Source organism: Homo sapiens, chromosome 7 (assembly GCF_000001405.40).
Source record: "Homo sapiens chromosome 7, GRCh38.p14 Primary Assembly".
In the NCBI taxonomy this organism is placed as follows: Eukaryota; Metazoa; Chordata; class Mammalia; order Primates; family Hominidae; genus Homo; species Homo sapiens.
In genome coordinates, this window is record NC_000007.14 from 157,166,275 (window position 1) to 157,193,463 (window position 27,189).

At 41.0% G+C, this 27,189-nt stretch overlaps 1 protein-coding gene and 1 pseudogene across 4 annotated transcripts in view; both read left to right on the top strand.

Annotated features, from left to right (window-relative positions):
- Nucleotides 1–27,189, top strand: part of UBE3C (ubiquitin protein ligase E3C) — a 130,445-nt gene that overhangs the window by 27,349 nt on the left and 75,907 nt on the right. For 3 of the 4 annotated variants that reach the window (NM_014671.3, XM_047421073.1, XM_047421072.1), the window contains exons 3-10: nt 2,774–2,848; nt 4,030–4,176; nt 8,645–8,760; nt 12,416–12,573; nt 15,244–15,397; nt 15,834–16,054; nt 17,604–17,755; nt 20,560–20,747. In NM_014671.3, the coding sequence (NP_055486.2) occupies nt 2,774–2,848; nt 4,030–4,176; nt 8,645–8,760; nt 12,416–12,573; nt 15,244–15,397; nt 15,834–16,054; nt 17,604–17,755; nt 20,560–20,747 (1,211 nt within the window). The remainder of the gene's footprint in view (nt 1–2,773; nt 2,849–4,029; nt 4,177–8,644; nt 8,761–12,415; nt 12,574–15,243; nt 15,398–15,833; nt 16,055–17,603; nt 17,756–20,559; nt 20,748–27,189) is intronic. The other variant, XM_005249564.5, reaches the window with a different exon arrangement.
- Nucleotides 26,052–26,588, top strand: RPS27AP12 (RPS27A pseudogene 12; annotated as a pseudogene).

Here is a 27,189-nt window from a genome sequence, read left to right on the forward strand (position 1 = left end):
CTTTCAAATGTATTTTGTATTTCTTTAAATGAATTCTTCACTTCCAGAATTTCTAGTTGATTCTTTTTAAAAATACTTACTCTTTGGTAAGTTGCTCACTTATATCCTGAATTATTTTTCTGACTTCTTTGTATTTTTCAGAATTCCCTTGTATCTCACTGAGCTTTAAAATCAATATTTTGAGGGCTGGGCGCGATGGCTCACGCCTGTATTCTCAGCACTTTGGGAGGCCGAGGCAGGCCGATCACCTGAGGTTGGGAGTTCGAGACCAGCCTGACCAACATGAAGAAACCCCATCTCTACTAAAAATACAAAATTACCCAGGCATGCTGGCGCATGCCTGTAATCCCAGCTCCTCGGGAGCCTGAGGCAGGAGAATTGCTTGAACTCGGGAGGCGGAGGTTGTGGTGAGCTGAGATCACGCTGTTGCACTCCAGCCTGGAGTGAAACTCCGTCTCAAAAAAAAAAAAAAAAATCAATATTTTGAATTATTTGAGATTTTCAAAATTTCTATTTGATTAAAATCTATTGTTGGAGAATTATTGTATTCCTTTGGAGATGTCGTATTTCCTTGTTTTTTCATGTTTCCAGCATCCTTACATTGCCATGTGCATCTGGTGAAAGTCGCTTTTTCCTGTTGGTGGTGGTGGTGGTGGTGGTGGTGGTGGTTTTTGAGACAAAGTCTTGCTCTGTCACCCAGGCTGGAGTGCAGTGACATGATCTCAGCTCACTGCAACCTCCACCTCCTGGCTTCAAGTGATTCTCCTGCCTCAGCCTCCCAAGTAGCTGGGATTACAGGCGTGCACCACCATGCCCAGCTAATTTTTTGTATTTTTAGTAGAGATGGAGTTTCACCATGTTGGCCAGGCTGGTCTGGGACTCCTGACCTCAAGTGATCTGCCCACCTCAGCCTCCCACAGTGCTGGGTTTACAGGCATGAGCCACCATGCCCGACCTCACAGGATTTTTTTATAACCATTTCAAGCCCAGGAACTACATCTACATGACCTGATGGTGTTCTTGAATCCCACAGTGTGTGTGTTAGTCTCAGCTTTGTAGATGGCATTCATAGAAGACATGAAACAAGGTAGTATGGTGAGATGGAGTACAGGCTTTATTATCATACCTGAGTTTGAATTCTGCTTTACATCTTTGGGTGTTGCTTAATTTTTATAGCAGTCTCAGTTTCTGCATCTTTAAACTGGAAGTGATGCTCACCTGTAAGATGACTGTGCATTTGTATATAAAATGCCTCTCTCTCTCTCTTTTCTTTTTTTTTTTGAGACGGAGTCTCACTCTGTCACCCAGGCTGGAATGCAGTGGCGCGATCTCGGCTCACTGCAAGCTCCACCTCCCGGGTTCACGCCATTCTCCTGCCTCTGCCTCCTGGTAGCTGGGACTATAGGCACCCGCCACCATGCCCGGCTAATTTTTTGTATTTTTAGAAGAGGTATGGTTTCACCATTTTAACCAGGATGGTCTCGATCTCCTGACCTTGTGATCCTCCTGCCTCGGCCTCCCAAAGTGCTGGGATTACAGGCATGAGCCACCATGCCTGGCCTAAAGTGCCTCTCATAGGGCTGGCACATAGTAGTAGGCTGTCCAACAGCAGTAGCACTGGTCATAACAATGATGAAGAACGCATATTTTTGCCAGGTCGCTGAACATTTTAAAGATACTCTCAAGTCAATGAAAATTGGAATTTTCTCTTGAAACAAGAAAGTGACCTTTAAAATAGATGCTGGTGTTGTCTGCTTGTATTCCTTTAATATTTAAAACTTTAAAAAGTCCTGCTAGCCGGGCACGGTGGCTCATGCCTGTAATCTCAGCATTTTGGGAGGCCAGGGCTGGAGGATCATGAGGTCAGGAGATCGAGACCATCCTGGCTAACATGGTGAAACCCCGTCTCTACTAAATATACAAAAAATTAGCCAGGTGTGGTGGCGGGTACCTGTAGTCCCAGCTACTCGGGAGGCTGAGGCAGGAGAATGGTGTGAACCCAGGAGGCGGAGCTTGCAGTGAGCTGAGATCAAGTGGGCGACAGAGCAAGACTCTGTCTCAAAAAAAAAAAAAAAAAGGTCCTACTATGCTGGTGAGATTGTAAAATGGTATTGCCATTTTGGAAAACAGTGTGGCAATTCCTCAATGATAACTCTACTTCTAGGTTTATGCTCAAGAGAAATGAAAACCTGTATCCACAACAAAACTTATATATGAATGTTCATAGCAGCCTTAATTCATAATAGACCAAAGTGGGAGCAGCCCAGATGTCCATCAGTAGATGAATGGAGGAATTCAACGTGGTCCATCCATACAATGGAACATTACTCTTACTTAGCCTTAAAAAGGAATGAAGTTCTCACATATGCTGTAACATAGGTGGATCTTGAAAACATCATGCTAAGTGAAGAAAACCAGACACAGCATATTGTATGATTCCATTATATGAAGTGTCCAGAATAAGCACATCCATAAGATAGAAGTAGATGAGTGATTGCCAGGGGCAAGAGAAGGGACGGCAGGAAACGGGGGGTGACTGCGAATGGAGACGGGGCTTCTGGTTGTGGTGATGAAGGTATTCTAAGATCAGTGGTGATGGTTGCATAGCTCTTAATATATTAAATGCATATTTAGTGGGTGTTACCTTTTAAAGAATGAATTTTATGGTATGTGAATTACATAGCTGTTAGTGTTTTTAAAGTCTTTACTAGCAAAATGTCATTTTCACTGGATTCTGACCAATTGCTCCCTCACTCCTCCTTTTATTGTTTAGGAAGAAAGGCGAAGGTTGAAAAATGCAATAATTATCCAGTCATTTATTCGAGGCTATAGAGACAGAAAACAGCAAGTAAGTTTGTTTTAAAATGAGGAGATTAGTAGGGCATGGGAGAGCTTATTTTAAATATGGTATCTTTGTACACCTTGTTAATTGAAGTCAATGCTGACAGTAGTATTCTTCCCAATAAATAATTTTATTTGTTCTAATTATTGTGAAGATTTATAGATAGGTGAGTTTTTAGGTAATTTTTAAATAATAAAATACAAACATGGGCCTCACCACAGTTGAAAATCAAAATAGAAGGAAGTCATGAGAGATCCTTTTTTTTTTTTTTTAAATTGAGACTGAGTCTCACTCTGTTGCCCAGGCCAGAGTGCAGTGGCATGATCTCGGCTCACTGCAACCTCTACCTCCTGGGTTCAAGCAATTCTACTGCCTCAGCCTCCCGAGTAGCTGGGATTACAGGCATGTGCCACCACGTGCAGCTGATTTTTGTATTGTTAGTAGAGTCGGTGTTTTGCCACGTTGACCAGGCTGGTCTGGAACTCATGACCTCAAATGATTCGCCTGCCTTGGCCTCCCAAAGTGCTGGGATTACAAGCATAAGCCACTGCGCCTGGCCTGTTTTTGTTTTGTTTTTTGTTTTTTGAGAGAGTCTTGCTCTGTCACACAGGCTGGAGTGCAGTTGCACGATCTTGGCTCACTGCAAGCTCTGCCCCCAGGTTCAAGCTATTCTCCTGCCCCAGCCTCCTGAGTAGCTGGGACTACAGGTGCATACCACCACAGCTGGCTAAATGTTTTTGTATTTTTAGTAGAGATGGCGTTTCACCATGTTGCCCAGGCTGATCTCGAACTCCCGACCTCAGGTGATCCACCCACCTCGGCCTCTCAAAGTGCTGGGATTACAGGTGTGAGCCATCGTGCCCTGCCTAGCTTTTGTATTTTTAGTAGAGATGGGGTTTCGCCATGTTGGGCAGGCTGGTCTTGAACTCCTGACCTCAGGTGATCCACCTGCCTTGGCCCCCTGAAGTGCTGGGATTAAAGGCATGAGCCACCATGCCTGGTTTTTTTTTTTTTTTTTCTTTTTAACCATTTTTTTTCTACAATTCAACTGTGAGCAAGGACCGATAATGGTGTTTTCGTTGTCAATTTCCACCATTCCTGTAAACACAGCAACGTATATTTACATCATAAGAATTGTGTGTCCAAATACTATATTTATGGGTCATTTTGTTTTGTTTTTCTTCCAGTATTCCATCCAAAGAAGTGCATTTGATCGCTGTGCTACCTTGTCACAGTCCGGGGGCGCTTTTCCCATTGCTAATGGCCCCAACCTTACCCTTTTGGTAAGGCAGCTTCTGTTTTTTTACAAACAAAATGAAGACTCAAAACGTTTGGTGAGTGTTAACTACATTTTCACTTGTCCTCGTTTACACGTGTTCTGCTTTTTTGTTTAAAGTGGAAATGGCTTCTCATCAGAAAGTTAAACAGCTCTCCACTGCATCCAGGCTTTGCAAACTTCTCAGCTAGCTGTGAGAGGTTACCTATGTGGTGATGTGTTTTACCTCTTAAAATTTGATACACATAAAAATGTGTATCCAAAAATAGGCTTTTTCGTATTTTTTGCAGTGGAAAACCTTAAGCATTTAAAAAGCAGAATATTTTGCCCACCTATCATGTACCCTGACACAGCCTTAGCAGTTGCCAGCACGCCTAGGTCAGTGGGACGTGCACCCTGAATACCACATCATGATTACTTGCAAACTCTAAAATACAAGGTCTCAGTGTTTACATTTTATTATTATTATATTAGAGATGGGGTCTTACTCAGTTGTCTTGAATTCCCAGGCTTAAGCAGTCCTCCCACCTCAGCCTCCCAGGTAGCTGGGACTACAGGTGTGTGTACACCTTGTTAATGTTAAGGCTAATTTTTTTTTTTGTAGAGATGAGGTCTTGCTATGTTGCCCAGGCTGGTCGTGAACTTCTAGCCTCAAGTGATTTTTCCCTCCCTGGCCTCTCAAAGTGCTGGAATTATAGGCGTGAGCCACTGTACATGATTTAGGGTCTCTTTTGTGGGGAGGGCACTGAGGGAGTAGAGCCTTGCTCTTGTCACCTAGGCTGGAGTGCAGTGGTGCATTCTTGGCTCACTGCAACCTTCCCCTCCCGGGCTCAAGCAATCGGTGGTGTCTCAGCCACCTAAGTAGCTGGAATTACAGGCGTGTTACCAACATGCCTGGCTAATTTTTGTATTTTTAGTAGAGACAGGGTTTCACCATGTTGGCCAGGCTAGCCTCCAACTCCTGGCCTCAAGTGATCCTCCCACCTCATCCTCCCAAAGTGGTAGAATTATAAGCATAAGCCACCATGCCCAGCCTTAGGGTCTCATGTTTTTAAAAAAAATCCCAAATGTAATCGTAGTTCTCTAAAATTTTGTAGGCTGTTGATCTTATCAGTGCTGAGGAACAGTGTGTATTAATGGTGGAAAATACAACCAGATGCATAGAAGAATAATTTTTTTAAAAAATGGAATTTGTTACTGTCCATTTTCTCAAGGAATATTAAGAGATTTGTATATAATTGTTGGGTTATATACATTTTTAAATATTTTATATATATATATATATATATATATATTTTTTTTTTTTTTTTTTTTTTTTTTTTTTTTTTTTTTGAGACAGAGTCTTGCTCTGTCACCCAGGCTGGAATGCAGTGGCATCATCTCGGCTCACTGTAACCTCCGCCTCACGGGTTCAAGCGATTCTCCTGCCTCAGCATCCCAAGTAGCTGGGATTACAGACGTGTACCACCACGCCCAGCTAATTTTTGTATTTTTAGTGGAGATGGGATGTCGCCATGTTGGGCAGGCTGGTCTCGAACTCCTGGCCTCAGGTGATCCACCTGCCTCGGCCACCCATAGTGCTGGGATTACAGGCATGAGCACTGCACCTGGCCTAGGTTAAATATGCTATTTATCTTTTTTTTTTTTCCTTTTTGAGACGGAGTCTTGCTCACTCTGTCGCCCAGGCTGGAGTGTAGTGGTGCGATCTCAGCTCACCGCAACCTCGCCTCCTGGGTTCAAGCGATTCTCCTACCTGAGCGCCCTGAGTAACTGGGGTTACAAGCTTATGCCACCACCCCTAGCTTAAATTTTTTTGTATTTTTAGTAGAGTCAGGTTTCACCATGTTGGCCAGGCTGGTCTGTACTCCTGACATCAAGTGATCCACTTGCTTTGACATCCCAAAGTGCTGGGATTACAGACATGAACCACCACACCCAGCCAGGTTAAATATATAATTTATTTTTGGAAATTTTTGTTTATCTGTGTTAAAAATTTCAAATTGCATGAAAGGGGAGTATACAGTGAAAAATAAGTCTTCCTCGCTACAAACCATCCCTACTAGAATGATCCTACTTGAATTAATTACAGCGGACAAAGGAATACATGATTATTCCTCTAGTGTTTGGCTTTAAAACCCAGCATTGCCTCCAGAGTTGAGCTAAGGTGGAACATGGTGAAGACTTTCTGTAAACCGAGAACGTGCAGAGAAGGAACTGAGAGCCAGTCTAGAGAGGCAGTGAAAGCCGTTGAATCTACCCATTCTGGACTTCAGTTAAGTGCAGGCTCTTTCCAGGCTTGCTTTCTGAAGTTGTTGAAAAAAAGAATCAGAATAGTACAACGGCAGATAATCGGGCTTGCTTTCTGGAACAGGATGTCCTGGCCTCACATACTCTAATCTTGTAGATTACAAGATCACCAAGGAGCACAGACAGGCAGGTGCTGTGAGATGTCGATTGGTGTCTCTCCAGAGCACCTATTGCCTTTGAGTGAGGTCCTCAATCTTAGTCATCAGTCACGACATGGTGTAGCTACACAGTCTTGCTTCAGAAGCCATCTGTGAAAAGCTTGGAGGTAAATGAACATATTTGACTTTCGGCCTCGAGCAAATATCAAGCAAATTGCTCATGTGCAGATTCTGAAACCTGAAATAGAATTAAATGTCATAAGACCAGTCCAGGAAAAGGATAAAAGAAAAGTGGGCTGGACACAGTGGCTCAGGCCTGTAATACCAACACTTTGTGGGGCTGAGGTGGGAGGATCCCTTCAGGCCAGGAGTTTGAGACCAGCCTGGCCAAAATACCAGACCCCACCTGTAAAACAAAGCAAAAAATAAATTAGCTGGCTGCGGTAGCTTGCTGCTGTAGTCCAGCTACTTAGGAGGCTGAGGCAGGAGGATCGTTTGAGCCCAGGTATTCAAGGCTGCAGTGAGCTATGATCCTGCGACTGCACTCCAGCCTGGGCGGTTGAATGTTGATTCAGTTCTCAAGCATAGATGCGATAGCAATAAATTAATCTTAACGTAGGGGAAAATGTCTCCTGCCCCAGTCTTCACATTGTTTGCCTTCTACTCTAGGAGTAAGCATAATGCCACTTTTGATGGGTTTTCAAAGTTATTCTATGCAAAAATCAACATATATGGCTATTTCTTCCTCACCTCCTTTTTAAAAAATTTTTCTTACGACTTTAAGTCAAATATGGTACTAAGATTATATTTTATGTATAGTTTAATTCTGGAATTAATTGCCTCACTTTTTAGTTGCTTAATTTTCTTTGAATCTTTTGATAAAGTCTTCTTCCAACAGTCCTATTATATAATGTATAGTTATTTTACATCTTATTTGTTAACTGATAATAGAAATTTTAGGACGAACTACATGTCAGATGGTGAAGGGAGTATTCATACCTTATTCATTCCTGAGAAAATGTGGGCAAGGTGGCTCCAAACACCTCAAGAGAAAGCCTGTGTGTAGGCAAATTAACTAATATTCGGAGTAGTTCAGAATTATTTCATCCCAGTTTAAGACATGCGCTAATTTATTATGCAGAGTGCTTTTGTGTTGGTAATTTCATTGTTTAATAACGTTTTATGGCAAAGAAATGTTAATGTCGAAGAAACTACTTAAAAATATAGGCAAAGACAAGGCTATGTGGCGTATTTATGACTAGCTACACTTAAGAGGCTATCTTTGCCGAGGGTGGTGGCTCACGTGTATAATCCCAGCGCTTTGGGAGGCTGAGGTTGGTGGATCACTCGAGGCCAGGAGTTCGAGACCAGCCTGGCCAACATGGCAAACCCCGCCCCTACTAAAAATATAAAAATTAGCTGGGCGTGGTGGCGGGCACCCGTAATCCGAGCTACTTGGGAGGCTAAGGCATGAGACTTATGCCTAATATATGAGAAATACCGTATTTCTCATATATTTTTATTACAGATTTCTGATATTTGCAAGTGAACTATTTTTGTTTCAGATTGACATGAGCTTTAAGTGTACTTTGTTTTAGTTACTAATTTAGTAATTTAATACTGATGTGTTATTTTAAGATTGAAAATGCAAATACTTTTGTTTTTTTGGAGACAGGGTCTCTCTCTCTCTCGCCCAGGCAGTGCAGTGGCTTGATGTTGGCTCACTGCAACCTCCACCCACACCCCGCAAGTTCAAGTGATCCTCCCATCTCAGCCTCTCGAATAGCTGGGACTACCGATGTGTGCCACCACGCTCGGCTAATTTTTGTATTTTTTTGTAGAGACAGGGTTTCACCATGTTGGCCAGGCTGGTCTTGAACTGGACCTCAGGTGATCTGCCTGCCTCAGCCTCCCAAAGTTACAGACGTGAACCACTGTGCCTGGCTGGAAAATGCACATACCTCTAAATAAAACCGACTTAGAATATTTACTTCTTAACCATCTTTTGATTAGGTTTGATTAAATGTGCATTGCCACTAAAGGAAATTTGGGGTATTATGTAAATTAGCAAACTATTAAATTTTCATTGAGAGTTGTATATTTTATGTTTTGCTGTTTCAGATATGGCTGTATCAGAACTTAATTAAACACAGCTCTCTGTTTGTCAAGCAGTTGGATGGATCTGAGAGACTTACATGCTTATTTCAGATAAAAAGATTGATGAGCCTCTGTTGCAGGTAAAATTCTATTGTAAGTCAGTAACGTATATAATGTATTGATCACCTTGTCTAGGGGAACACCTTTTGACTTTTATTTTCAGAGACAGTGGCTTTTCCATACTTTTTTTTTTTTTTTTTTTTTGAGGTCATGGACTTCTGTATATATTACAATTTTTACTGTAGGTGATTCAGGCCGGCATGAGGTATAAATGAAGACACATATTCAGTATCTTTCAGATGACTTTTTCTTTCACGGATGCCTTTGAATTATCTTGTGAATGATGGCCATCCTGGTTACTGGAGAATGGAAGGCCAGCCAAAAGAGGACTCCTGATGTGTGAGAATGATTCCATTCCATAGGGGTCTCCACCAAAATGCAGTTTGAAAGCCCCATCTTTAGAATACACCTTTCATCAGGCTTTTTATTATTTATGTAGGAACGCAGCATAAGCCACTGCCGTGACTTTCTTGCATTCAGTGTCCGAAAGAACACGTGTAAGTGATGTGAGTTACATTACCTGAATATAACACCTTTACCAGCTTTTAATAAATTGCTTATATCTCAACTGTAGTAAAATTTTCAAATGATCCTGAGCCTTCCATATAATTTCACTTAATTTTCTGGACACTGTCTGTAATATTTGTTTAGGATTACTGTCAGAACTAGTCTTTATTAACTGATTTTTCCAAAATACTTAGCTGGACCAAAGGTAGGAATAAAGAACCTATTAGAAGAGAGAACCAAGAGGATCCTAGATGCCAGTAATTCATATTTTTTCTAACTTATTTCTTTAATAAACTTTTAGTTTGAAAAACACATTGTATACATTCTTTTTGTGAAGCAGGAGTTTGCAAACTTTTTATGTAAATGGCGAGATAGCAAATATTTTAGGGTTTGTGGTCCACATATGGTCTCTATTATGTATTTTTCTTGCCTTTTGCTTACAACTCTTTAAAAATAAAGGAATCATGCTTCACTCAACAGCCGTACAAAAAACAGCCCTAGGGCTGGTTTGGCCTGTGGGTTGTAGTTTGCAAAACACCTTTAACGTAACTTTTGAATGTATTTGTATAAGCAAATAATTTTGATACATGATATATGTAAATATAATTATTCTTTTCCCAACTTTTATTTTTAAAAATTTCTAATACCAGAAACACCTGAAGCCCAGGAGTTCGAGGCTGCAGTGAGCTGTGATTGTGCTACTGAACTCCAGTTTGGGCAGCAGAGCAAGACCATGTTTCTTTTTTTATTATTTATTTATTTTTATTTTTGAGATAAGAGTCTTGCTCTGTCACCCAGGCTGGAATGCAGTGGCGTGATCTCGGCTCACTGCAACCACTGCCTCCTGGGTTCAAGCAGTTCTCCTGCTTCAGCCTCTCAAGTAGCTGGGACCACAGGCACGTGCCACCACGCCCAGCTAATTTTTGTATTTTTAGTAGAGATGGGGTTTTGCCATGTTGGCCAGGCTGGTCTCAAACTCCTGACCTCAGGTCATCCGCCTGCCTTGGCCTCCCAAAGTGCTGGGATTACAGGCGTGAGCCACCGTGCCCAGCCAAACCCATGTTTCTTTAACAACAAGAAAACACTCCTCCTCATCTTTCCTCTTTAATCTCAGTAAGGTCTCATGTATTTTTTAAAATACAGTGTGTGACAGATGACTTTTAATGGTCTGCTTATAGGTAGAGAGCACCCTGTAAGCAGCCCGTTTTTCTTGGCTTGGCCTCATTTGTATTTTGAGAGATCTTTGTTTTCTGTGAGGTCACAAAGCCTTAAGTGCTCTCTCTGCCCCAGGCCTGGGGCTGTTTTCTCTAAGGAGCACTGATTCTTTTTGATGAGAAATGGAATTTTAACAAAATGTAAATGTTAGAAATTGTACTTCAAGTGTATGTTAGTAAGTCGACAGTCTTATCTGCCACGTGCCAGAACATTGAATTTTTCTTTTTCTGTAAATGTGGCCTTCCAGAACCACCTGCAGCTCCTTTTATGACTAATCACATACATATTTTTTAATGCCGTTGAACATTTCTGAAGTCATGGAATCACTGGGTCACATAGTAGTTATATATTTCACTTTAGAAGAAACTACCAAACTTAGGACAGCAGCATAGGAGAGGCGCAGTTCCTCCATATCCTGAACCCTTGGTATTGACATTTGTCAAAACCCAGCCATTCTGATGGGTGTGTAGCTGTATTTTATTGTGATTGGAATTTGTATTTCCTGGATTACTAATGATGACGGGTGTTTCTCAGGAGCATACTGGTCACTCAGATGGCTCTTTTTCAAGAGTCTGTTCAAATCTTTTACTTCATTTTTTAAGGTGGGTTGTCTCTTGACAATATGGATATCCTTTTCCCGTCCAAGGCTGTCCCGATAAACCTGGAGCTACATCCTATGTTGTCTCTCACACGAGGCACCGTTCCAGCACTTCTCTCTGTTGCATTATCAGGTTTACCTCTCACATGGGATTATCAGCACACATGCTGCTGACTTTTCCAGGTTGACAAGAGGCTCTCCCACCGCCCGCCGCTGCCCTTTGCGTCCCAGCGGCTTGTTATGTGTAGCCCCGCTCCTCCTGCACTCGTACACCCCTCGAGAGACACCAGTGTGGTGCTGAGGGGAAAGTTGTGAAAAGGGCAAAGACAAAACAAGGTCTGGCTGGGTGTCCTGCCCAGCCTGCCCGCTGGGTCCTCACCCCCTGTCTCTCCTGGGCTTTGCGGCTGTTGAGACAGAAGGCAGCCTGCGGTAAGCGGATAAGCCGTGTAGACACACCCCACCCAGAACCCTGCACGTTATTCCCCTCCTGGCAGGGCAGAAGGCTTTTGTCACATAGAGAAGTTAGTTTCAGTGAGGCATTGAAACAGCCTCCTGGGTCCCTCATTAAAGGTGATGTGTGGTCAGATGGATTCTGTTTTTTTTTTTTTTTAAGAAAAAGGAAAAACAGCTGTAAAATACCTTGTGAAAGCAACAGGAGAAATCTAAAAATAAGTTCGGTGTTAGACAAAGTTTTTGATAGAAAAAAGGATTGGGGTGGGGGGAAAGAGGGAGGAGTGGACTAGAGACAGCCAAGAAGAAACTTTCGGGAGTGGCAGATGTGCTCTGTGTCTTGATTGGTGCGGCCTGCCCGACTGCTTGTGCTGCCCTCTCTAAACGGATAGTTAACCTGCAGTTCTTCTCATAGTAAGAAGGGAAGCCTCAGTCAAAATGAGAGTTGACTTAGGACCAGAAATATATCATTGTTCTATTTGGGGGATATTGCAGGCGTGGAAAGTCTCAAAAGCATCTTTAAGGAGATGAGATGCACTGTTAAAGAGATTCGTATCTGAGTTTAATTAAATGCAGCTTCTTGGTACAATTCATGGATTATAATACTTCTTACAGTGTTTTGTAATCTTTAATTTTTCGTGTTCATTTCTCCACTGTCCATTTTTCTTGTCTGTGAACTTAGTGCCAGCATACCGTTTGGCACATAACGAGAATTCTTTTAAAAACTGTCTGAATGACTGAATGTTAGTTGGATGATTTCCCTGTCTATCTGTAAGATGTCCCTATTTTCAGAGATAATCTTGTACTGGAATAGTTTCTTAACCATTGTCACTGAGAGTAACTTGGGGAAACTGGTGACATTTTGCCATCCTGTAAGTGTGTGAATACTTTTTTCATTTTTACAGGTTGCTGCAAAACTGTAATGATGACAGTTTGAATGTTGCACTTCCAATGAGAATGCTTGAAGTATTTTCGTCTGAGAATACTTACTTGCCTGTTTTACAAGATGCTAGCTATGTGGTGTCAGTGATTGAACAAATTTTGCACTACATGATTCACAATGGTAAGTAGTAGGCAGGATCAGAACTGTGGCTCAGCATCCTGATGGGGAGTGAGCAGAGGCCAGCCTGCTGCTGTGAGCCTGTGCCCTCAGTCTCAATGTCAGAGCGGTACTGGTGTCCCAGACGCCTTGTGCTCCATCCACAGGTGCCCACCAGAGTCCCAGATTCCAAAATCTGTCCTTGGCTCCACCCACTCTGAAAATTCAGAAACATGCTACTCTCTTTGCCTTTTTCTTTTGCTTGGAAGTGAACCAAAATTGACATATGCTTTCATCAGTTGTCCCGTCATCCAAGATTGGTGTCTGCAGTGCAGCTGCCGGTCCTTCACCTGACCAGGAAGGGCTCTTACCACCTCCTGGTCATTCTGAGTGAATGGGAAAGGTAATGCCACCAATGTATGAGTTGAACATCACTCCAAGAGCCTTATGAAAAAGTAAATTTTGTTAAATGATTTTTCTTCCAAGAGTGAGGTCCTTTCACATTAGTTCAGTAGAAGAGAATAGGATATTTAGTTTGAATTTTCTAACTCAGTGCTAAAGTTTTAATACATTGATAATGCTCCTAAAATGACTGCATCGTAGAAGCTATACTGAACTGCATCTGAAACCCTTGAGGACACATTAGTGACACTTTCTGGAGAAAAAGGATGAAATAAACATGATTTTTAAAAATTTTATGAAGTGAGCAGTATAAATCCTAACACAAAAGAACCTTTGGTCTCGACATCCTCATAGGTAGAAACCCAAGCACTTCAGGACTCCTGGGCTCGAGAAGTATTTGTCAGCATTAAAAATGTGCGTGAGACTAGTTGTGAAGGGAGGTCTGGAGAGCCGTGGCTGCAGACAGAATTATAAGCAGCTGTGCTTTCCTTCACCTGAAGTCATAGTCTGGGTTACATCTAACGGACTTGAAGTCTGGACCACTTGGTCCTCTTGGTCCTCTGTCAAAACTACAGAAATTAAACGCATACTCATTTCAGCCTTGCTGCTTGGCGTGTTACTATTTTTTAGACTCCTTAGTTTGTTGAAAACTTAGGGAAACAGTATTCCGAGTTAATTAAAAGTAAACTGAAAGTTGTGGAATTTGATCTTTTTAAAAACTAATAATTAAAAGTGGTTCATTGTGTTAGTTGACATATATACTGTTTTAAGACTAAGCGTTTGAGAATTTGTATTTGTTTTCTAAAATTGTAAGGAAGATATTTAAGAAATATGCATTATTTGAAATGTGTCCCAATATACGAAATGCTTAAAAATCTTACACAGAAACTGCCGCTTCTAGCATCTTCTGTGGTACAGCAGTTGTTTACTTTCTAACAGTCGATAAAATTTTAGCCTTTTAAATTATAGTATTACCATTATTTGTATTGTTATTGCACATTCTGTGCCATGAAGCTTTTTAACATTTGCAACAGAACCTTTGTCATGTTGTCAGTCTATTCAGTAAGTACATTGTTAGTTATGTTAGTCACTTTTTTAAAAAAGTCTCTGTGTATTTTTTAAAATTCTTGATGTATTTTTATCTTTTTAGTTTCATAGCAAAAGAGCTTTCAAGCTTTCATATGAGTTTCACTAGTTATCAGTATACACTAGGTTAGACTTGGGGTAGTTACAAAGTAGGTCTAATGATAAAGTACTGAGTATGCATTGTTTGGTGATCTTCACTCAAATACGAAGCTGTGTAGGACTGTTTCAAAAACTAGCCCATGCAGATGGATTGTTTTTAATGTGCTACCAAATACGCTTGTATATGATGAGATACTCAAAAATTGCACCTGAACCTTCTTATTCTATAAAAATGGAGTAAATGATTCTGAAAGAATATATGATTTGGATCATTCTTGATACCCAGAGTTATGTTCACTGCCTCCCACCCAGAGTTCCTATCAGAAGCGTAGGCTGGATATTTTAAGAGGTTCTGAAAGTTGTTTCAGTTTACGTATAAGCTGCCTTTAAACAGTTAACTTCTTCAGTTCCCAGATTGTGGTCTCCAAATACATCATCTCCTCTAAAAGGAGCTTAAGAGTTTCTGGAGAAAAGGCTGATTGTAGGGCGGGATGCAGGACTGCCAGTGACCCTGGGGCTCAGGAGCCTCCTAAAGCCCACCCCGGGGCCCCAGGTGGAGCAGCATGAGGTCAGGACTACAGTGGAATGAAACCTACCAATATGTTCAACTCTATGAATTCAACACGGTGTTTAAAAAATGCACAAATCAGAGACAAATTATAAGATCACAATATGTGGTCCTTATTGAGCTCCTTCCTGATGCAAGCAAACTAGTTAAATAGAATTTCTAACATGAGACAGTTGGAGACTTGAATACTGACTAGATATTTGTGATGTTAAGGAACTACTCTTCATTTATTTTAGCTGTGATAATGTTTTTAAAAATAGTCTCTTAATGATACACTAAAATAATTATATCTTAGACTTCCTTCCAAATGAGTGGTATACAGGTGAAATGAGATTGGCTGTAGTTGACAGTTGTTGGTACATGAGGTTTGTATACCGTTCGGCTGCCTATATATTTGTTTAGTTTTCCTTGCTAGCATGTTAAAGAACTAACTTAAGTTTGGACCTGTAGAGATGGTTAAAAGCATTTAAAAATTGGCAAGTTTTTTCCCTTATTACAGGAAAAGGCACTAAATTTTAAATATGTGTTTTTCCTTTTAGGGTATTATAGGTCTCTATATTTGTTGATTAACAGCAAGCTTCCATCAAGTATTGAATATTCTGATTTATCTCGAGTTCCTATAGCAAAAATTTTGCTAGAGAATGTTCTAAAACCATTGCACTTTACTTACAACTCCTGTCCGGAAGGTGCGAGGTGAGACTGGAATGGATTTATTGATTTTGTCCTTTCACAAGATCTATATCTGATGGTAACTTTTACATAGGATGTGATTTTAAATATAGACTTGAAATTCAGGTTTTTACTTTATTAGTGTTGATTTAGTTTATAGGAAAGTGTACTTTTTCTTTCTGGCCTGTAGCCTAATACAAATTTGTGATTCTGATAACATGGTTATTTTCCTGCTTTTCTAAGTAACTGTCAAAAATTAACGAAAACATGGTAGTTATCTTAATAGAGAAGACATTAAGTTTACTTTAGGTTGATCTAGTTGATATTAAAATGGTTAACTTGGCTAATTTAGAAGAGTAGATTATCCTTTTAGAAGGATATTTTGAAAGGTGATTTTAATCAGTGATTGGATGGACAGTATAATTTGATTTTATAAAAAGCTTCTGTTTTTCTTTTTCAGGCAACAAGTTTTTACAGCCTTCACAGAGGAGTTTCTGGCAGCACCTTTTACAGATCAGATTTTTCATTTCATCATTCCGGCGCTTGCAGATGCGCAGACCGTTTTCCCTTACGAGCCCTTTCTGAATGCACTGTTGTTAATAGAGAGTAGATGTTCAAGAAAGAGTGGTGGAGCACCCTGGCTTTTCTATTTCGTTTTAACTGTTGGCGAAAATTATTTGGGTATGAAATACAAGATCTTTTTTACCTGAACACACATATGGGTAGCATTGGCAGATGAGTCAAGAGAAGGCCATGCAGTGGCAGGTGTTATGGAAAGGTGGGCCTCTCCTGGAGGAGTGTATTTGCTGGAGGGATGTGGTCTGGGCAGTGTGTTCCTGGGGACAGTTTCCAGATACAGTGGAAAAGACTGACATATATATGTGTCTTATGAGGCCACACAGATTATTTTAATAGAGTTAACAGAGTTAAATGGGAAAGCTCTTCTGTGAGTCAGGCCTGTTTCCCTCCCTCTGCTAAATTTCCAGTGTGCCTCTTCTAGAATAACATCTTCCTGTAGTATGTTTGAAAACATACATACATACATACATGCATGAATTATTCATGAAAGAAATATAGGAAAATGTGAAAACCAAACTTTTGGGGGTTGGGTGCGGGGGGGTATATAGAGTCTCGCTCTGTCACTAGGCTGGAGTGCAGTGGCTCCATCTCAGCTCACTGCAACCTCCGCCTCCCGGGTTCAAGTGATTCTCCTGCCTCAGCCTCCTGAGTAGCTGGGACTACAGGTGCACGCCACCACACCCAGCTAATTTTTGTATTTTTAGTAGAGACGGGGTTTCACTATGTTGGCCAGGATGGTCTCAATCTCTTGACCTCGTGATCCACCCGCCTCGGCTTCCCACAGTGCTGGGATTACAGGCTTGAGCCCCTGTGCCCAGCCCAAACTGTTTTTCTTACTCTCTCACTCAACACTGAAAAATTCTGTGAGCAGAAATGTGGGGTTTTTTTTCCCACACACCAAGCAATTCTTCAGTGGACACCAACTAGGTATTCTACAATTCAGTTCAATTCTGATGCCGTCCACCCGGAGATAATGTCAGATCCCATCATCTGAGGGCTTAGTCCTGCAAGACTACACCCACTTCAGAGGCCGATTACAAGTAGTAGGTTGTCACCTATACTTCTGACCAACCTGCAAAAATGGGGGTTCCTCAGCCCCTCCTTGGGATTGGTAATTGACTAAGACAGTTCACAGAACTCGGGAAGTCGAGGTGTGCGGGAATGGGGAGCTTCCATGCCTTCTCCAGGCACTCCACACTCTCGGCACCTCCCTGTGTTGAGCTCATTGTGTCTTCCTGTTGAGTTTTATGGTGCTTCTTCTCCAGTGTCCCTCCCACAGACAGCCCCTTGGAAGTTGGTGCGTGGGGCTGAAAGTTCCAACCCTCTGATCACTTGGTTTTTCTGGTGAAAAGCCCCATTCTGAGTCCCCTAGATGGCCTCACCATAAGTCACCTCAAGTATGATCACAAAGGGCTGGCTATGAATAACAAGAGACTCTTTATCTTTCAAGAAATTACAAGAGTTGTAGGTGCTTTCTGACATGAACGGGGACAAAATCTAAATATGTTTCCTATTATAACACAGTTAGAATTTTAAAAATAAGATCTGGTCAGAAATGCCTCTCTGCGTGTGAGGAAAAATGGCGTCTTCGTTTTCCATTTTAAAAAATAATGTTTAACTAAAATACGTTTTAACTGATTGTTTTGCAAAGGGGCCCTCTCTGAGGAAGGGCTGCTGGTGTATTTGCGGGTGCTGCAGACCTTCCTCTCTCAGTTACCAGTCTCTCCTGCCAGCGCGAGCTGTCACGACTCAGCCAGTGACTCTGAGGAGGAGAGTGAAGAAGCCGACAAGCCCTCAAGCCCGGTAAGCCCCGTGCCCTGCATCTGGGGGGCTGCGATGCAGGCAGCCCCGTCGGATCTTCTAGCTTTCTGTCCACCCGTAGTTTCAGTTACACAAGTCAGACCCTCAAGCAGCCTTTGCAGAGAAGCCCCGTCAGCCCCACTACCACAGTTTCTAGTGATGGGAAAGTCTCTCCCACCGCTTTGTTAGCACGTTCATGGAAGTGTAAATGGAGACACATAGCTTTGTGTTTGGTTTTTTAGGCAAAATAGGATCATACTATATGTTAACTTAGTTATTAGGAAATATTTTCTGGAAGTGAAATTGTTGGGTCAAAAAGATCCTTTTTACCCTATCCTGTGAACACCGGGTAGTGTCTTCCATTAATTCCTGCTGATTTTATAGAGGATAAATGTTATTTACTTAAAAATTACTTTCAAGTTCTTATCTCTTTTCTTCCTTACTATTGAGTTTACAGTATATTTTCAGGGAATAAAAAACTTTAAAATTATATATACATGCATACATAATTTGTGTTTTACTTAAAGAATTTAACCGCCAATGACTTTTTTTGGTCTTAAGCAATTGAAATGGCTTGAGGTATGGCTATCATAAGTTGTTATTTTTTCATTAAGGAGTTTTATATTGATTACTACTAAGTGTAATCACAGAATATACTTGAGAGGGTCTCAGGGCTTCCAGGTGAAGTAAATTTTTAGAATATTGTGAAGTGGGTGTGTCAGTGCAGTGCTGCACCTTCCTGGACAAAGAGCTTCACTAGTATCGAATGAAAGAGATCACAGCAATAAGAAAAGGATCGATAAGTCAGCTCAGGGCTTGATTTTTTTTAAAAAATAAGAGAAGACAAAGAAAGGAACAGAAGATATTCACTGCCAGGGCTCATGGCTGAGGGGTGGGCTGATGACAAAGGAGTGAAGCCGTTTTTATAGTGGACAGTGGATGCTGGAACTGTTGCATCTGTCCAAACTGTACACCAACAAGTATTCATTTTTTTGTATGTTTATAAAAAAGAGTGGGTTCTGTAGATGGAATGTAGATAAATTTTTGTTTTTGGAAGAAAGTTATTAAATAGTCACCTCCCATAGAATTTGTGAAATTAAACCCTTATTTATATGCAGTGTATTTTGTATTCATGTGAAGATGAGGCTGTGGGCTTTCTCAGCGAGAGAGAGGACAGGTTTTTCCTCGCTGTGGGTGTGCAAACACGATGAAAGCAGAACATGCGGACCCGTGAACCGGGAAATCACCTGCAGGCTCTCACTCGTGCTCACACTTTGAACATTTAAGAAGTGGGATCAGTTTCTTGATTTTTAAAATTATTTACAACCATAGAAAATATTACTCTATATTCTTTTTTAATACATAAGGGTTTCAAGGTCTGTGTATTATTTAACTTTATACTTTAATTTTCCTTTTTTTGTTTATTCTCTTCATTCTTCCTTTGTCTTGGGTATTGTCCACATTTGGGCTGAGAACTAAAGACCCCATTTTGAGCCAGGCACTCATAGGTTTCACTGCAAGTCATTCTTTCTTTGCCATGTCTCTTACCTGTATGTTTCTGTGTTGCCTTTTCTTTCCCCTGGCACTTAATTATATAAAACCTAATGTGATTGTATGAGATTTTTCCAAGGTCAAAGTTCACCCTTGATAAGCTCTTTTGCCTTTAGGTTTCTGTATAATCTGTTCACTTACAGCTTATGTACAATTTATTTTAAAATTGTACACTACAAAAATAGTAGTGCTAGGATTCCTTTCTCATTCTGATGTACTTTTGTTAGTCTTAATGTTAAAGATTCAGGTTTGACAGATGAATTTACTGCTTTTATCTATAAAACAGTGTTTTGTTTGGTAAGTTATTATAAATTATATAAATTGTATTCATCCAAGTTTCCAGACAATACAGTCAGCAATACCCAATGTTATATATATTCACATTCATATATATATATTCATATATACACATACATATGAAAAAAGTATATATCTTTGGTTACTGCCCCAAATGAGTAAATTGCATAGATTGGCTTGGGTTATATTCAGTGAATCAAATCTTCTGGAGAGATTAAGGTATAAAATAGATTTGTGTAGCCTTTGATTTTAAAAAATTCGTTAATAGGCTGGGAGCAGTGGCTCATACCTGTAATCTCAGCACTTGGGAAGGCTGAGGCAGCTGGATCATTTGAGGTTAGGAGTTCGAGACCAGCCTGACCAACATGGTGAAACCCTGTCTCTACTAAAAATACAAAAATTAGCTGGGTGTGGAGGCGGGCAAGTCCCAGCTACTTGGGAAGCTGAGGTGGGAGAATTGCTTGAACCTGGGAGGCGGAGGTTGCAGTGAGCCGAGATTGTGCCACTCAGTCCAGTCTGGGTGACAGAGCAAGACTGTCTCAAAAAAAAAAAAAATTTATGTAATACTCTCACTTATTTTGCTTAAACTGTGATCTCAAATTAAAATGAAAATGCCATTAGATGATGATAGTTTCACTATGTATGGTTGTCTTAGTGCAGCTTGATGTAAAAAAAAAAAGTAGGAAATGAAGTTTTTTTGAAATGTAAATACTGAAGCTACTGTTATATCATAGGCAAAAACCGGGTATTCAGAGTTTACTGTGTTAGGCAAAATGGATGCCTACTGTTGACTGGATCCCTAGAGGATTTCACACTAAGTGTACTGTGATGTAGATAATTTTGAGATGATGCCTAGCTTTCTTTGCCCGAAGAAAAATGTGATTTCGTATATGTTTGTAGTGTAGAGGACGTTCCAGTTGAGCACATTTATGGAGACTGGTTGTTCTGGTATGTTCTAGGAGGATGGCAGACTGTCAGTATCATACATAACAGAGGAATGCCTGAAGAAGCTGGACACAAAGCAGCAGACCAACACCCTGCTCAACCTGGTGTGGAGGGACTCTGCGAGCGAGGAGGTCTTCACCACCATGGCCTCCGTCTGCCACACGCTGATGGTGCAGCACCGCATGATGGTACCCAAAGTCAGGCAAGTGTCCGTGGGCGTCTGTGCCAGGGGGTGCCAGCCAGAGAACATACCTTCCTCCCTGGGAATTGCTCTCCTCTTAAGTTTTGTCTGCTCTTTTCTGGTAGAGATTGATGTAGGATATTCTACTGTCCAAGCGTTTCATAAAAAATAATTTGTGTTTTTCTTTTCTAAACCAACAAATACTGAGACCTTTTCCTGGCCCGTGAGGCTCTCAAGTACCCTATCTGTAATATTTTCTGTAGTACCTTATGAATGTGAGTTTATTCACCCATCTGAAAGGCTGGACTCATACCTGCATTAGTGAAACACTATGTTACATATCTTTTTAGGCTTTTTTCATAGTACTCGTGTTTTATGGGGTTTTTTTTTTTCTTCTTCTTCTTCAGACAGCATCTCACTCTGTTGCCCAGAGTGCAGTGGTGTGATCATAGCTCACTGCAGCCTTCACTTCCTGGGCTCAAGCGATCCTTTCACCCCAACCTTCTGAGTAGCTGGGACCACAGGTGTGCACCACCACACCTGGCTAATTTTTTGTTTTTGTGTGTGTGTGTGTTTGTTTTTTGTTTTTTTTTTTGAGATGGAGTCTTGCTGTTGCCCAGGCTGGAGTGCAGTGGCGCGATCTCGGCTCACTGTAGGCTCTGCCCCCCTGGGTTCATGCCATTCTCCTGCCTCAGCCTCCCGAGTAGCTGGGACTACAGGCGCCCGCCACCTCGCCCGGCTAATTTTTTGTATTTTTAGTAAAGACGGGGTTTCACCATGTTAGCCAGGATGGTCTTGATCTCCTGACCTTGTGATCCGCCTGCCTCGGCCTCCCAAAGTGCTGGGATTACAGACATGAGCCACCACACCCAGCCTTCATAGTACCCTTTTAATTAGATTGTCCTTGACAATTTATCCCTAAAAGTAAATTTTTGTTTTTCAGCCTTTGAAATAAACTTTTGGTTCAGACAAAACAAAACCTGCAAGTTAAAAATATGGCCTGTTTGTGCTTAAATAATTGTGACAATAATCTTGAACTGTTTTCTCTCCCTCCAATTTGAGTGATATGTTAGTGGTTTCTTGAGAATTTAACAGAAAAGTATTCAATTGGATACAGAGTAAAATATATGTAGTAGTTCTGCTAGGACCCAAGGGACTGATGTTGCATAGGCAAAAGCTGTCAGTAAGTAAGCAGGTCTGACGTTAATTCACGTTACCCTACAGAATTCTCTTTGTTTTTATAAAATGCCATCCCATCATATGAAAAGAGTGATTTCTGTTGGCTAAGAAAGCATTCTTTGAAATGAACTGTAAGTAAGGAACCCATCGGTTGAAATGGCCTTGTAAACACTAATGTGGCCAACTAATGAGGTGCTGTCTTCACTCACTGGTGTTTATTACCATCGGAGGAAGTAGATGTCAGTGAAACTGTGGCTCCTAGATTAGGTCCTTAGCTCTTTGCCGGCTAATTGCATGAGAGCAGGATGTGAGATCTGAGGATCGCAGCAGCTGAACCAGGACACTTGCTTTTATTGTCGCACAACCCATTGCTGTGGATGGTAATTGCTGGATTTCAATGCATCACTGCCCTGGGCTGAGGTTTACTAGAGAACCGCTTCCAAAAGGTGTTTAATGGGTGAAGGAACTTTCTGTGTAGGCTTGATTTTATGAGTACAGCACCTATTTCCTCTAAGAAACTACTCTAGGAATTTTATTTATGGCTTAAACATATTAGGTTCTAGTATTTAGAAAGAGCAAGTAGGCTTACTCTAACTGTTACAGATTTTAACTGCTTTCAATTTTGATTTTTTTAAAAAAGTATTTGAAAGATGATTAGTATATTCCCAGGCTGATAACTCATTCACAGGCCCTCACTGATTAATATTAGTCCCTTTTATTTTCAGAGTTAGGATTTGCCATTTAATTTCTGTTTAACACTGATTGTCAGGGTGTACAAATGAATGTGGAGACCTTTGTACCCTGACATGGAAAGATTTCCGAGACAGATGCGTACATGAAAACCGGGAAGACACAGGACAGTATGTAGAAGAACCGGCTTTTCCTATAAGAAGGATGGAAAAAATAGGAATATATATTCATATTGCATAAAGAAACTTGGAAGCATATACAAGAAACTCATGAAAGTGAACACTCGTGTCTGAATATGCCGAGGAAGCTGGGGCTGGAGCAGAAGTGCTCTTCTGAGTACACTATTTTTATATCACTTTTAAGTTTTGGATTAGGTGAATGACTTAATATTTTAAAATTGGTTAAGTAATAAATGAATTGCCAGCTCCTTTTCTGAGAGGAAATTTTAGATATATTACCATTGGACGTGGAAATTTGGATTTAACATTTTTAATATCCACTATTTTAAAATATGATTAAATATTCACTGGCTATATTTTAAGGGGGCAAAAAATAAAGGCTCTACTGCAGTATCAGACAACTAAAATAAGAAAGTAGGCTACCAAAGATAGCCTGTTAGAAAAGTGCTTGGCTTTCATCTGGCATACGTGGGGTTTTTAGTGGGTACTGTTTCAGAGTTTCATTGACTGCATTTGTGACCCTACTTACATGTAGATGAGGCCTGCGGTGCCCACTCAGCCCCGCGGCATTCCTGGCCTTTGTGTGTATTTCACATTCCTCGTCCTTCCTTTTCCTGACTCTTTCAGCGGCTTCTTTCATAGATACCATATTCATGTGATTTTTCCTTTACTTGGGCTTCTCAGTTTCCTTTGTGGGTTCTTTTTTCTCCTCTTTCTCACTCTTTCCTAAACTTCTTTTTGTATTCAGTTTTTTAGGGTTGTTAGTTTGTGACGGAGTCTCTTGCCTTGTCGCCCAGGCTGGAGTGCAGTGGTGTGAACTCGGCTCACTGCAACCTCCACCTCCAGGGTTCAAGCGATCCTCCTACTTCAGCCTCCCGAGTAGCTGAGATTACGGGCACCCATCACCATGCCCAGCTAATTTTTGTATTTTTAGTAGAGATGGGGTTTCACCATGTAGGCCAGGCTGGTCTCGAACTCCTGACCTCAGGTGATCTCCCGCCTCAGCTTTCCAAAGTGCTGGGATTACAGGCGTGAGCCACTGCGCCCTGCTTAGTTTTTTAGTTCTTTATTTGGTCCTCTGGGTAATCTCTTTCATACAAGTGGCTTCAGCTACATTCTAGTGACTCTCACATTTGTGTCTTTAGTTTAAGTAACTTTCTGGAGCTCCAGACACAAGTGTACCTGCTTAATAGGAGATGTCCCTGGGGACCTCTCCTCTGTCCCCTCCCAGGGTCTGAAGTTGAGTCCAGCATCTCTCCCTCTTAAGAGCCTCCTCTTTCTGTCCCTGTTTTGGTGAACAGGCCCGTCATCTACTTGGTTGTCTGTACCTGCAGCCTGAAACTGCAGTGTCCTGCATGGTAGCCACCAGTGACGTGTGTTTTAAAGTAAATTAAATACAAGCACAGACTCAGGTCCTCGGCTACCAAAGCCACATTTCAAGTGCCCAGTAGCCACATGTGGCCAGGGGCTACCTTATTGGACATCACAGATTAGAACACACCCACCCTCACGGAAGGTGCTGGTGGGCGGTGCTGCCCAGGGTTTTGGCTCAGTATTCCCACCATGGTGCTCGAGAGCTGTATTCTCTATGTCATGGTTTGCCAGCCTGACTTGTGGAAAATACAACCCTGATTATTGCATTCTCTTGAACAGTGTAGACTCCCTTTGCTTTTAGGAAAAAATTCACATTCCTTGGATTATTGATTTGTGCAGTATCCCCTTGTTATCAAGCATTTGTTTACCTCTCAACTTTATTTCTAGCACAAAATACTTTTTCTCCAACCATAAATGAGGCAAAAAGGCATATCTTGCATTTTCTTGATCCCATTGCGCTTTTTTATGCCTCCATGGTGTTTCGTGCCCCTTTCCTTTTGCGTATGCCAGTCTCTTCCAGTTAATGTCTGGGCTGGCATGTTCTCAGGGGCTTGGCTCTTTTACCCCATTGATGGATCTAAAAGTTTTGAAGCAGAATTTTGAAGATAGTGTTTTAGGGGTCGAAGAGGTTGATGTTATAATTTGCCCGTAGTTTCATTTAAATACATAAATCATAAGACACCTAGTTTTATTTCAACATATGCTTGATTTTTCCACCAAAAAGTAGTACAGTGAAGCAGCTTAATTATGTCTTGTGTTGTTAATCATTGTGATTTAGATAAACAGCGGTGCGCCTCGAAGCGCAGTGCTTCTTTTCTGTGCACGCGCGTGTGTATGTGTGTGTGTAGTGTTTGTTGGTTTTGTCTTTATTTTTGTTTTTGTTTTCTGAAACAAGGTCTCACTTTGTCACCCAGGCTGGAGTGCCGTGGCGTGATCTCAGCTCACTGAAACCCCGCCTCCCAGGCTCAGGTGATCCTCCTACCTCAGCACCCTTGAGTAGCTGGGACGATAGGCGTGCCACCACACCTGGCTAATTTTTTGTAATTTTTGTAGAAACGGGGTTTTGCCATGTTGCCTAGGCTGGTCTCGAACACCTGGGCCCAAGTAATCTGCTTGTCTCAGCCCTCAGCCTCCCAGAGTGCTGGGATTGCAGGTGCAAGTCACTGCGCCCAGCCCCTCGTGTGTTTTCTAACCATTTCTTTGCCATGTGTTTTCTAAGAACTGTGGTGTATGTGGTGGGGATGAATGCTCTTTAGCTCTGAGAGATTTATAGCTTCATATCTTATACTTTAATAATTTGGGATAAAATGATTACACAGATGACTTCAAAGCAGAAAAATACAGATTTGTTTTTCATTGTATGTGTAGAATTAAATATATATACCGTCCATGTGTTTGTAAACAAGTTTTTATAATATTTTGGAAAAAATATTGAGGATGTGCCTGGAGAGAGAAGTAAATTTTGTCTATAATTTCATAGCTGCTTTTATTATCAGTGATATTTTCATTATAATCAATAGAATTAATAAGCTATTGATTCATGTTAAAAATTGCATTCTCTTTCATGAAGTTCAAATAACATTGATGAGCTTTTAAACATTTCAGCACATAGTGATCTTAAAATTAAATGTATTTTGAAATCCTATCTAGATTATAAACTAATTTCCACTAGCTGTTGTTAGACACATCAAATAAATAAAATAGACTTGCCTTCGTCAGCTTCAGCAATATCATTCATAGTTCTGAATCTTCTAAGAATTCTTAGAACATTTGTGAATGATAATTGTTTCCCGGGAAATATGAGTACACTTGGAAGAAGCATATTCCACCAAAGTGATTCTAAATCCCTACCACGTTTTTAAAGTTTTCTTTTAAGCTTGTTAAGAAATAGTAAGAGAAGGGGCTTCCTTTTCGATCCGCCATCTGCGGTGGAGCCGCCACCAAAATGCAGATTTCCATAAAAACCCTTACGGGGAAGACCATCACCCTCAAGGTTGAACCCTTGGATATGATAGAAAATGTAAAGGCCAAGATCCAGGATAAGGAAGGAATTCCTCCTGATCAGCAAAGACTGATCTTTGCTGGCAAGCAACTGGAAGATGGATGTACTGTCTGACTACAACATTCAAAAGGAGCTTACTCTTCATCTTGTGTTGAGACTTCGTGGTGGTGCTAAGAAAAGGAAGGAGTCTTACCCCACTCCCAAGAAGAATAAGCGCAAGAGAAAGAAGGGGAAGCTGGCTGTCCTGAAGTATTAGAAGGTGGATGAGAATGACAAAATGAGCTGCCTTCGTCGAGAGTGCCCTTCTGATGAATGTGGTGCTGGAGTGTTTATGGCAAGTCACTTTGACAGACATTATTGTGGCAAATGTTGTCTGACTACTGCTTCAACAAACCAGAAGACAAGTAACTGCGTATGAGTTAATAAAAGACATGAACTTAAAAAAAAAAAAAAGAAGGGATTATCAAAGAAGACATTTGAGGTAGTGAATGCCACTTTCCCCCATTTTAATTTAAACTGTAGCATGAGGGAAAGTATGTTTTTTGAATCTGTAAATCTTTTAATTAAAGAAAATCAGTTGCCAGTAAGAAGGGCTGGCTGTTTAAATTGGTTCTGGTGTCAATGCTGGAATGCTAGCGCGCCTGAGTGTCTAAGGCTTACCTCCTACTCTTAGCTCCTAGTTTGTGAAGAGCAATTTTTAGCAGCTTGTCTCCAGACGAAATACACCTTAAAATTTTTATTAGTAAGGACATTGGAATTTATTTTGAATCTTGCATTATCTGATGCAAATTATTATATATCTGTTTTATTGCTTTTTATGGCATTAGAAGTGTCCAGTAATATTTTTTTAAAAAGAAAAATTTCAGAAGAACAAATTATTGCCTTTGTACTTGTGTGCTATAAGAGTTCGACAGATCATTGGGTGTCTCGCTGTTTCTTTTACCTGTGGCACCTGGACTTAGAGGGGAATTCTCAGAGGATGCCATGCTGTGGTGGCCTTGACTCCTTGTGTGGGAGCCAGTGTCTTCCATTGTGTTCT